This window comes from Homo sapiens, chromosome 4 (genome assembly GCF_000001405.40).
Source record: "Homo sapiens chromosome 4, GRCh38.p14 Primary Assembly".
Taxonomy (NCBI): domain Eukaryota; kingdom Metazoa; phylum Chordata; class Mammalia; order Primates; family Hominidae; genus Homo; species Homo sapiens.
Window position 1 is genome coordinate 4,526,167 of NC_000004.12, and position 12,390 is coordinate 4,538,556.

At 39.8% G+C, this 12,390-nt stretch overlaps 1 protein-coding gene and 1 long non-coding RNA gene across 5 annotated transcripts in view; both read right to left on the reverse strand.

The window, feature by feature from the left end:
• The window catches only part of STX18 (syntaxin 18), a 123,376-nt gene that overhangs the window by 107,199 nt on the left and 3,787 nt on the right, over positions 1-12,390 (reverse strand). The window lies entirely within an intron of this gene.
• Positions 302-2,977, reverse strand: LOC107986254 (uncharacterized). The gene is made up of 2 exons (XR_001741564.2): positions 2,283-2,977; positions 302-1,581 (listed from the first exon to the last, which is right to left on the reverse strand). It is a non-coding gene; the product is annotated as an uncharacterized LOC107986254 (long non-coding RNA).

The following is a 12,390-nucleotide window of genomic DNA, read 5'->3' on the forward strand; positions in this document are numbered from 1 at the left end:
CGTGCAGTGGCTTAGCTTGGAGAGGGACTGAGGGCTCACCGTTACTGTGTCAGCTCAGGCACAAGATGGTAGGAGTCTGAACTCCTATGGTAGCAGCAGAATGGATGAGACGGAGAGAAAGTGCAGGTGCTTATTCACTTAATTGATTTCCAAATACTATGTACTGAACTGTGCTCTGTGCTGTGAGGGGAGTGGAACACAGTGTCTATCTTCTTGGGCTTGGTAATTAACTGGATAGAGGACAGGAAAAGGGAGAATGACAGATGTAACTGCAAAAATGGCAGTCAGGGTGGAGGAGCTCTCTGGTGAGTTCGAATTCCTAAATTTTTATTTACACAAGCTGGAACAACAACAAAACGTCAAAATGTAAACAGGAAAACCAATCCTCCCAATATACGACTTCATGTGCACCATGGAAGATGCTGATTTTATCGCAGTTGAGTCAACGGGAAAGTATAGAAGCAAATATGCTTGTACTGGTTGAACTGTACCAAGTAATGAATATTTGAAAAGACTTCTGAAGCCAGGCATGGTGGTGTACATGCATAATCCCAGCTACTCAGAAGGCTGAGGCAGGAGGACGCTTGAGCCCAAGAGTTTGAGGTCAGCCTGGGCAACATAGTGAGACTCTATCTCCAAAAAAAAAATTGAAAAAATAAAAAAAGGCTTCAAAGATAACAAGTAAGGTATTTTTTTAGGACTGAAATGTTTCCAGATTTCATCTTTTGACATAAGTGAGATATATTCACAGATTTTCAATCATTTACCCACAGATAGGTATTTAGAAGCTTTCAGGAAATTCATCACCTCTCCTTGATAGCTCTTCTTTTTCTTCCTTCTCTTAATTTAATTTTGATTTAACTTCCTCTTGTCATTGCTTGCTTACAAATCACTGCCTCTGTGTCTGGAGCCAATTGGGGCTGTAAAGTACCCCACGACGCCTTCATCTGGGGACCTATTTATATATATTTTCTTATTTCAAGAGGTAGAGCTAGCCTGTAACTCCAAAAGTTTCCAATCAACCATCACATTCTATTCTTTGGAAAAATATGCTTCTCTCCACAGTTAAGATGACATCAAACTACATATTTTGCAAGAATATTTCCTTTCTACCTGTATAAAGATGAATTGTGCTTTGGGAATTCACTCACAAAAAAAGGGTTGAGTGTGGGTAATAAATGCTTAATAGCAATAACATTTTTTAAAACTTTCTACCAGTTAAAATTAAATGTAATTTCCTTATTACTTTAATGGAAACTTTTGGAGTTGAAGTATTTAACTAGTCTCTTTTACATCAAGTGTTCATTATATAATTCCCTTTTAATATTAGGTATGTAAACTGTCCATTGACAGAATAAAAACACACATTTCCACTGAAACAAAAACTGGAGAAGGACAAGGCAGCTTGATTCAGGATCTGATAATGGGTTACAGATTCCATTTCAGTTCAGATTTGCAGTCAACATGCCACAGAGTCATTTACCAGGTCATATTTGGAGGGAAAGTATGAACTGCCACGTCACTGAGAGAAAAATCTGTGTGAGCCTAAAATACTTGACTTTTCCCACTGTAATGCTGAGCCTAAGGAAGAAAGATAGAGAAAAAAATTATATATATATAATTTTATATATATATATGTTTTTATATATATATAATTTTATATATATATGTCTTTATATATATATACACACACACACACACATATATATATATATTAAAAACTACCTTAAATTAAAAGGCAGTGATGATTTGGCCCAAGTTCTGGGCATGGGGAAGACATCCCTTAGCCACTGTCTTTCAGGGTCACCCTGAGTGAGGCTGCAATGCTGCCTTGTCCATTGCTGGCTGGTACTAGCCTACTGGCTAAATCATCCTAACCCCCAGGATGCTAGACTTACACAGCGGAAAAATTCTAGAGCTGGTGGGCAGACACCTAACCTGAGTCATGGGCTGTGGATGCAAAGCTTCTACCCAGTTCCCAAGCCAACTCCTCTTTTCCAGCCTTCCCATCTCCTGCTGGAGCCTCCCATTAGTTGACCCCTATCAGAAGCCAGGGGGCAAGGAAACCCCACTATGCAGCCCATAAAGATCAGCCTCTTGATGTGATCCCCAATATTGGAGGGGGGGCCTGCTGGGAGGTGTTGGATCATGAGGGTTGATCCCTCATGAATGGCTTAGCGCTGTCCCCTTGGTGATAAGTGAATTCTTGCTCAGTTCACACAAGATCTGCTTGTTTAAAAGAGTCTGGGACCTCCCCCTTCTCTCTTCTTGTTCTCTCTCACCATGTGACACTCTTGCTCCCCCTTCACCTCCTGCCATGATTGTGAGCTTCCTGAGGCTTCACAAAAGCAGATGCCGATGCCATGCTTCTCGTACAGTCTGCAGAATCATAAGCCAAAATTAACCTCTTTTCGTTATAAATTACCCAGCTCCAGGTATTCCTTTATGGCAATGCAAAAAATGAACTAATACAGGTTGTGTGGCTAAACTGCATCTTTCGGATTGAGGCCCCCAGGTACTAGGAGAACTGCCTGCTGCTGGCTCACAGCCGAGTGTGTCTCAAGCAGCAGGAAGGTGCCTCACCCAACACTAGGGCCCTTCCCTGGGAGAAGCCCACAGACAATGGCTGGCCAATGCAGTGGTTAAAAAGCCCTGGCCCTTTGCCTCAATTGGGCAATTCTAAAAAGCCATCTCAGCTCCAGAGATCTCCACGGAACTGACCATTTAATGAACAAATAAAATCAAAAACTGGTATCCCAACAACAGAAAAGGGAATTACAATTTTTTTTCAAATGTCTATAATCCATAAATTGGGTCTCCTTCCCTCTCAATGATTTTACTAACTAAAACCACAAATCCTTTTCTCTTTTCCCCAAAAGCAAACCACAACACTTATCTTTAAGAAACGCATGGTTGGCCAGGTATGGTGGCTCACACCTGTAATCCCAGCACTTTCGGAGGCTGAGACGGGCGGATCACGAGGTCAGGAGATCGAGACTATCCTGGCTAACACGGTGAAACCCTGTCTCTACTAAAAATACACAAATTAGCCGGGAATGGTGGCTGGTGCCTGTAGTCCCAGCTGCTCAGGAGGCTGAGGCACGAGAATGGAGTGAACCAGGGAGGCGGAGCTTGCAGTGAATCAAGATCGCGCCACTGCACTCCAGCCTGGGCGAGACTCCGTCTCAAAAAAAAGAAAGAAAAGAAATGCACGGTCACAAGGTAATTGTTGATTAAAAGAAAAAGGTTGGTTTGGAAGCAGCCATATTTCCCCAAAAGTTAGTCAAGCACTTTCAAATATATAATGTATGCACCAAAATATGCTCCTAAAGACAGCAGATGATGTGATAACATACTAAAGAGCAAATCCCCAGAGGCGTGGTCTGTGGAATGCCAAGTGGAGCACAGTTCCCAGCCTGGGACACACTTGCCACAGGACACCTGTGCATGCCCAAGAGCTGGGGAGGCAGCAGGCAACCGGAGAAGCACAGCACACACGTGCCAGGACTACTCATCTCACAGCACCAGGGACGTCATCTTGGGAGATAGCTTACCCTTCTGAACCTCGGTTTCTTCATGAATAAAGGAGCCTAACTTGAAAGGATAGTCAAATAAATTATAAAGCTTTTACCACAGGGCCAGGTACAGTAGGTGCTCAACAAGTGGTAGCCATTATTATCATTTATTATGCTTTAGAATAACAACCAGAAACTAAGACATCAATGCAACATTTGTGGATGATTTTCTCATATAGATTAAGAAAGTCTGGATTGGAAATCCAGCTGAGTTACAGGAAAATTACTCCCTTTACAAAAGATTTTACCACAGACTTCCTTTAAATAGCCCCCACCCCTCCACTGCACATTTAATATAGAATTAGATATTGCTTGCTCATAACATTTTTCTAATCAAAAGCTATTAATTCTCCATTTCCTACCACAGCAAATAAAAACTCATCTGCCAGGAGTTTTACTTGTTCTGTTTTGCTTTTCATTTCAAAAGTAAATGTGCTCATTAAAGAAATTCTGGATGATAGAAGCAGAAAAATAAATCACCCAAGTCCCATCACTCAGAAAAAGCCATGGTTAACATTTTGGTGAGTTCCCTTCCAGTCATTTCCATGCCTAGAGTTTTTTGGGTTTGCATACATAGTTTTAATTGTAATTGGTTTGGGTAGTTATTTTTTTAAGCTAACATAATAATATAAGCATATATTAATTATATATAATAATATATAATTCTCATGTCATGACATACTCTTCAGTATGTCACATTTACCTAACAATTTCTCTATACTTGGGAATAATGCTGTAGTGTCTCTATGTAAGGTACTTGTGACAGCTGCCATCACCATCATCATCAAAATCATTATTATTGTATTATTAAGGCTGCTGCTGTTCTGTGAACATTTCTAAGGCTTTGTGAAAAAAAGAAAAGAAAAGAAACACTGCTGCTGCAAACTTTGTTTTGTTTTGTTTTTCCTAGCTGGAGTGCAATAGCACAATCTTGGATCACTGCAACCTCTGCTTCCCGGGTTCAAGCAATCCTCCCACCTCAGCCTCCCGGGTAGCTGAGATTACAGGTGTGTGCCAAAGCGGCAGGCTAATTTTTGTATTTTTTTATAGCGATGAGATTTTGCCATGTTGCCCAGGCTGGTCTTGAATTCCTAAGCTCAAGCGATCCACCCACCTCAGCCTCCCAAAGTACTGGGATTACAGGCATGAGCCACCATACCCGGTCAAACTTTTAAAACTCAGAAAGACTTCCCACTTCTACAAAGTATGTCAACATTCATCTTCATTTTCTTCAGTTTTGTTTTTACAGTTAAATCTTTAGTCCATCTAGAAATTTATTTTAATGTATGTATGAAACAAGGAACTAAAAATTTATTTTTTTCCCAAAGTGCTAACCAATTACCGCCAATCACTGAATAAATCTTCCTTTTCTTACTGATTTACAACACATCCTTTGGCATGGATAAAATTTACACACACACACACACACACACACCCTGGACTAATGGGTTTCACTAAAAAATTCATATATGCATATATTATTTTTTGGTGTAAAATGTTTTGGTATATATGCTGCCAAAGTGAGCATTAAAGTAATAATTGCTGTGTTGACAACACTTTTTCTTCACTTCCAGGTACACAATACGTGTTTCTATTTATCCAAATCTTCTGTATCTGTCTACAAAATTTTGCAGTTTGCTTCAACTAGGTCATTTACATTTCTTTTTAAGGTTATTACTAGAAACTCTTTTTGTTGCTACTATAAATGTTTCGTTATATTCTAAATGGTTATTAATTAAATATAGGATCGCCATTGATGTTTGCCCACTAATGTTATACAATGGCTCTCGAGGCCTCTGTAATCAGGCCACAGCACCTCCCCGTTTCACACTGCTGAGTAAGAAGCCCCCACTGGCCTTGTTACGCTGGTTTCCTTACTGTCACTGAGCACACCAGGCTCATGTTCACCATCCATCCACTTGACTTGCTCTTCAAGGATCTGCTCCCAGGTCAAAGCTTTCCTAAGTAGACTGCCTCTAATTACATGCCTTTTTCTATACTCATCCAGAACTGGTAATAAGTCCTAAAACATTTAATACTTTCAAATAATATAGCAATAATTTTCCTTTTATCAATACTAGAACATTCAATTTTTTACATTTGAGAAAAGATTAAACAAAAAACAAACTACATTTTTTGTCTTTTTAAGAGGCTATGATAAATTTGAAACAAATTTGGTAAAAATATACTGTTTGCTTAAAATACTAATAAACTAGAAGCAGCCTAAATAGCTTTCAACAGGGGTTCAGATAAATCAATTATTTATTACTATTTTTAATAGCTATGCAGCCAAATAAACTGGTGGTAAGAGCAATACATACTGATATTTAAAAATTTCCAAAATACATTGTTTTCTACAATACTGTTATGTAACCCCTCTCTACTCCCCCAAGGAAGAGGGGAGGGCATATGGAGAGGGATTACATAACCGTATTGTAGAAGAATCTTGATTTTATTTAACAGAAAAAATGTTTGGAAAGTTAAACACCAGAATTTTAACTATGGCTATTTCCTGACACTGGTACTAAATGTGAACTATTTTCTTCTTTATTCTGTTTAATGAGCACTTACTAATTTTATAATCAGATTTTAAAATAGTCAACTTCAAAAATGTGCCCTGCTAATAAAATTCCATTATAAAATTATATCACCACTTTTAAATCAAATACATTTGTGAAAACACACCAAAAATGCTAACTTTGAAAACAACAACAACAACAACAAACCAAAACAAAAAAAAAACCTCACTCTTTCAGAGACTCAGGGAAAATATCACAAGGTAATGGGCAGTTATCACTGCAAAAAGTATTTAAAAATACATCCTGGGACTTTCAGATAAAGAGTACTGAGTCATGCAACCATCTCATTGAAAAGGTCCTTATGGATTATCTAGTCAAAACCTCTCATTAAAAAAATCAGAAGAGTGACACCCAGAGAGGTTAGGTGAGTTCTCCAAGATCACATAGTAAGCTATTGGCAAAGGCCAAAAGTATTTACAATTCGAAACGTACACTTTTTAATTCCTTTCTCAATTCCTCTGAGTTAAGATATGCTGTAGCCTGTTACTTCTGCTAAGACTATAGAATTCACTGCTGGAGAAAATGTCCAAGAAAAGGCAAGTGTTCATTTCACCAGAGTTTTCTTATCATTTGACTACAAATTAGATAGAAATGTTACAATATTGTGAAATGGAAGTGTCTCTCTCTTGGTTAAATACAGCTTACAAATTCCATGGTAAGAACATTTTGACAAACAGACATATGTTAGATGGTGATAAGTAGAAGCTGGCAAACTTTAGTATTCATAGTCTTTGAGGATCTGAAAGTCTGTAACAAAGAAAAAAGTATTGCCGGGTTTAAAATTTCAACTGTGCTGCAAGCTTTCCATATCTGAGTTATTGGGTTCATTCAATATATCATACTTTCATTCCTCTGGTTTATTCACTTTCTTTTAGAGGAGTTTTGAAGTTGCCTCTTTTTAAGTCAATATTAAATGTAATACGCTTTAAACATAAAATGGTTTTCATACCATAAGCCATAATTAACATGTGTAGACTTCACTGATACTTTACCCACCAGAGGGAGTCCATGTGGATTTCCATGTAGTAAGAGACGTCAAACATCAAGTTTACATGAATTCAACAACCACATTATTCATAATACAATCAATATTATAAAATCACTCAATAATATATTTCTATCCCCTGAAAAAGAGAAAAATTAAATGAGATCGGGCACATAAAGTCCTTAACCGAGTTCCTGACCTATAGCAGAAGCTCAAAAATGACTGAGTTTCCAAAATCTGTATTCTTCTGCACATTAGTTACAGTGCTTACAACAAATTAACTGGTATTCTGACTTACACACAAGTTGACGTGAGCTTGGCTGATATCTGCCCTAACAGATGGCTCTAGCCTCAATATGTAGAAAAATCTGGTTCTTGGGCCTCCAAAATGAAGCCAGCCCCTGATGGGAAGAATTCACTAAAAACGTCACACTGAGAAGACGTGTTTCTGCAGCCCTACCCTAGTAGGTGAGACACATAATAATTGGTCAACTGCCAACTCAAAAGTGAGGAAAGAGGGAACTCTTTGACACACTCCAGATTCTTCATGGAATGCAGGAGAAAATGAATCAACTATCCCTGAGAATCATGCTTCTACAACATGTGATATAATCATTAACCCCAAGATGAGTTTCATTCAAGAATAAAGAAAGCAGAACTGAGAATAACAGGAGAGAACCTGGCATCCACACGGGCCATCCTAAGTTTCTACCTCCTTGTACTTCTCGCCACCATAAGTCCCAGCCTAGTGATGGCCGTATTGCTGAGACAGGTCTCAATCTCCATGCAACTGGCTGGGCATAGGTACATAGGCACTGGGTATCTATTTTGTACTCAACTGTCTCCAAGGTCTAAATGTGGCAAAGCTGAAGGACCCCATTGAGTTCCTCAATCCAGGTTTATCAGTAAGCACTGCTGCTGGGGAGTTATCCACCACATGCTGTCTTAATAAAACTCCAGTGTCCATGGGCTCCTTGGATCTATTCTCTACTATTTAGAATTAAGAAGAAGGCATGAATAACTGGCACTCAACTCTAACCCTGAAAACTCTGTTATTGTAATCTTCTACCATTTAACTTTTCAACCAGAAAGCTGGAAATTATTCTACCTCCTCCTCTTTCTATTTCCACTAATTAGTTACTAAGTTTTACTAAGTTTGTTGAGCCTACCTACTAAATACTAAATACCTACTTCATCTATTTTTCTCCCATCCAACCCTACTGTCACCGGCTCCTCAGTTTCACCTGAATTACTGCAACAGCATCCTGCTTAGCTCTCCATGTCAGTCTTGTTACATTCCAAACCCATCATCAACACTGCGGATTAGTTTAAAATACAAACATGATCCTTTCGTGCCTCTGCCGCATAGCCCAGAGCATAAAGTACAAACTCCTCAGCACTGCTAACAACGCTCTCATCTAAGAGTTGGCAAACTTTTTCTCTAAAGGGTCATACAGTAAATATTTTAAGTTTTGCAGGCCTCTGCAGGCTATCGCTCTGCTGCTACAGCATGAAAGCATTCTTGGCCTATATTTAAACAAATGAAAATGACATATTCCAATAAAACTTTATTTACACAACTAGGCAGTGGGCCGGATTTGGCCTGTGGGCCAGTTTGTGGACCCCTGCTCTAACCTACTTCAGTACAACCTCACCCCCTGACACTCTGACCCTCACCCGGGCCTCCTCCAGAAAAGGGCTCTAGTCACACCAGTCTTGCCTCTGGCCCCAAACTGCCCTACTGTTGTGTGCCACTGCCTTTGCTCACACCCATCCCTTCTACCTACGTCTGGTGGAATGGTTTTTCTCCTTAAAAGCCAAGTTTGATGATCACTTTGAGGTTTCCACTGATTCTCCCCTAAAGAGATTTAGGTATCCTTTATCTATCTTTTCAAAGAACAGGTTAATATGCCTCATAGTTTTTTTATGGCCCCACAATGCCTGACACACCAGATGTTCAGTGTTTATTGGATGATGGTATAAATCAATTATTGAATAAATACATTTCAAAACTTACAGTCCTCCTAAGTCTTGGGCAAAATTCAGAAGTGTAATCCACACAAAGGACTCACAATCTCATGAAAACTCTGCAGTGCTGAGCTCTCCTTATAGTACACACTCAGTTATTGCAATCCATAAAAACACAGCATCATGAAGCTAAAACAGGCCCTGGAGAGCATTAAAGCAGTGGTTTTTAAACTGTGTGTCTCTGGGCCCTCTGGTTGGTTCCTAGGGGTTCCTCAAGGAGAGGGGGAAGGTAACAGAAGGGTAGTAGGCTGGCGAATGAACCTCTCTCCCCAAACCTCTCACTCCAGCTTTTACCAAAGCTGCTCCTTATTTCATTAGCTAAAAGGTTCCTGCCATATTTAAAAAGAAATCTATATGATTCAGCACACTCATGCTCTGTTCACAGCTTGCATTCTAAACCTCCATTGTTTCCCAATCCTACTTCTGTATGGTTTGGCCCTATCTCCTGTCCTTCCTGCCTCTCATGGACTCACTGTACCTGTTGCATGATACTGCTTCTTTGAATCATGCTCCCTCAACTGAAATCCCCTAACTATGATTATACTCAACCCTTAGGTAAAATTTATAATCCAGGTGGTCCCAGCTCAACCTTTGGGTCCCAACACTGGCACAGAAAGTCAACACTGCCTCTGAAAAGGAAATCAAGGAGGACCTGGGGAATCAATGCTAAAAAAGTTACAGTTGTTACTCATACCTGAGTTGTTGTGCTACCTGTGTCTGCTTTTCCACTAGAATGTAAATGTGTTGAGGGAGGAACGGAATCTTAGTAATAAAAGCTACTATTTACTGAATGTTTACTCTTAATACCGGACTAAGTATAAATGTGCATCATGTAATATTCAAGAATCATGTGAGTATCACAGAGCTTTAGAACTGCAATGAGCCTTGGACAGAGATCACCTAGCCCCAAAACTGAGAGAGACAGTAGATTAACAGTTATTCATTAATTCAAGAAGTATTTATTAAGCACCTGCATCCCCACACTGTTCTAGAAGCTACAGATTCAGTGCTAACAACACAAAGTTCTTCATTTTCAGAAAACATATATTCGAGTAGACAAACAACAAATAAATGGATATATGATCTGCTAGGGGAAGGGACAGAAAAAGGAGGCCACTTTACGCAGGGCATTCAAGGAAGGCCTCACGGAGGCAACATTTAACCAGAGACCTGAGGAACTGAGAGATCAAGCCATATGGAATCTAGGAGAAAAGTGTTCCAGGTAGAGGGATGCAAAGGTTCTAAGCGGGAAATGTGCCTGATGCATGTGAGAAAATGAAAGAGGCCAGAATAGCTGGAGTAGAGTGAGCAAAAGGAGGGGGAGAGGAGGTGAGGCCAGAGAGGGAGCAGGGCCAGATCATCTGGCTTTGGGCCACTCCAAGAACTCTGAATTTCAGCCAAAGATTCAAGATAATCAATTCCTAAAAATAAGTAAATAAAAAACGAAGTTTAGCTTCCACAAAAGAATGTATTATCAAGAACAAAATCTCATCTGCATGCCTAATCTGAAAATAGAGTTCCCAGCAATTCAGGATCATTATTACCTTATTTAGAATCAAAGTGTCCTTATTCTACAAGAAATCTCTGCAGTTATCTAATCGAAGCTTTCAGTTTTACTAATGTGGAAACTGAGGCCCAGAGAAATCACATGAGCAGCCCACTTACTGGCAGACCTGCGGCTAGAACATGGGTTCCTGCTTTCCTGTGCGGTGCTCTTCAGTAGCCCCTGCTGCCTCTGCACAGCAGTTCGGTGCTTACGGGTTTCTTGCTTACCTGTGTGGTAGCCCCCCCTGGCTCCTGTAACCTTTATAAGTCAGTAAGAGAATAGAAGAGCTGCCACTATGAGGCATCTCTAGGCCTATCCTCACCCCAGAACCTGTCATTATAAACTCCTGCATTTTCTAGTTTCTCATTCCCCACAGAGTTGAAGACAGCCAGGCAGGCAAGGTGAAGGCACATCAGGCACTGTCCCAGGCACTGTGAGGGATGTTTTTGTTGCTTTTGCTTGCCCAACATTCCTTACTCCCTATTCCCAGACAGGGCACTGCCTTTTCCATGATTCTGGTGGGGGCTACATAGCATCCAAGCCACCTATTAACCACAGATTGAGGTGGACATAGACCTGACCAATTAAAGAAACATTCCTCTGGCTATAATGACTACTGTAAGAGAGAGCAGAGGATCAAGCAGAACCAACTAGATTTCCTTCCTGGGCTTTATGGATAAGAGCTAGAGAAAGAAGCTCTATCCCTGAATTTTCCAGTTATATGAGCTAAGGTATTCCCACTTTGTTCAGGTTAATTTACATTAGGTTACTATTACTTGCAAACAAAAGAACTCGGACTCATGTAGGCACCTGCATACCTTTTCTTATTTCACCTAACAACTTTATAAGGTTGCTATTACTCACTCTATTTTAGCCATAAGGTAACTGAAATTAAGTGGCTTCCCCAAGTTCATATAACAGATAAGACACATTCAAATCCAAGTCTTTCTGCCCCAGGTTCCATTCAGTATGCAGTATTCAGAATTAACTCAAGAAGAAGAAACTCACTGCCATTCAGAAACCAAACAAATTCTGGTTTAAAAATTACAGGAGAATGTAGTGGGCAGAGGGAGAGCAGCATTAAACCAGGTCAAAGGACCTGGCTTCTACTTATGGCTCTGTGCTATGACCTCAACTGCTACGACTTTGGGCAAGTAATTTCATTTATTTGGGTGTTAGTTTTCTTATCTATTAACAAAATGAACACAAGGTCCTTTTGAGTGAAAAAAAAAAAAACCACAAACAAACAAACATGGGTCTGCTTTAAGCATACAGATTCTACTGTTACTATATGTCAAGTAGATTTCAACTTGAATGTCAAGCCTAATAACAGGTAACGGCTCCTGGGGTACAATGTTGCAAAGGATTCTGAGCTATAGGGATCCACTAAGAAATTAGCACTGGCTTCCATGATCACAAGGAAGAAAAGAAAGTAAAAGCTGCATACCTGCCACACATCTGCCATCACTGAAAGAGTTTCACCTTGGCAAAGAAATGTTACCATCTTTTACGAATGCAGACAGTACTTCTGCACCACCGCTGATTCATCAGTACCTGCTCAGGATTTTCACTCATTCCTCACGCACTTAACTAAATTAAGGAATGAAAGTGCAAGAAAACTAAGTGGTTTGGAAAATACAGCTTGGTGCCACTAAAGAAAATATGTCTAAATGGCCT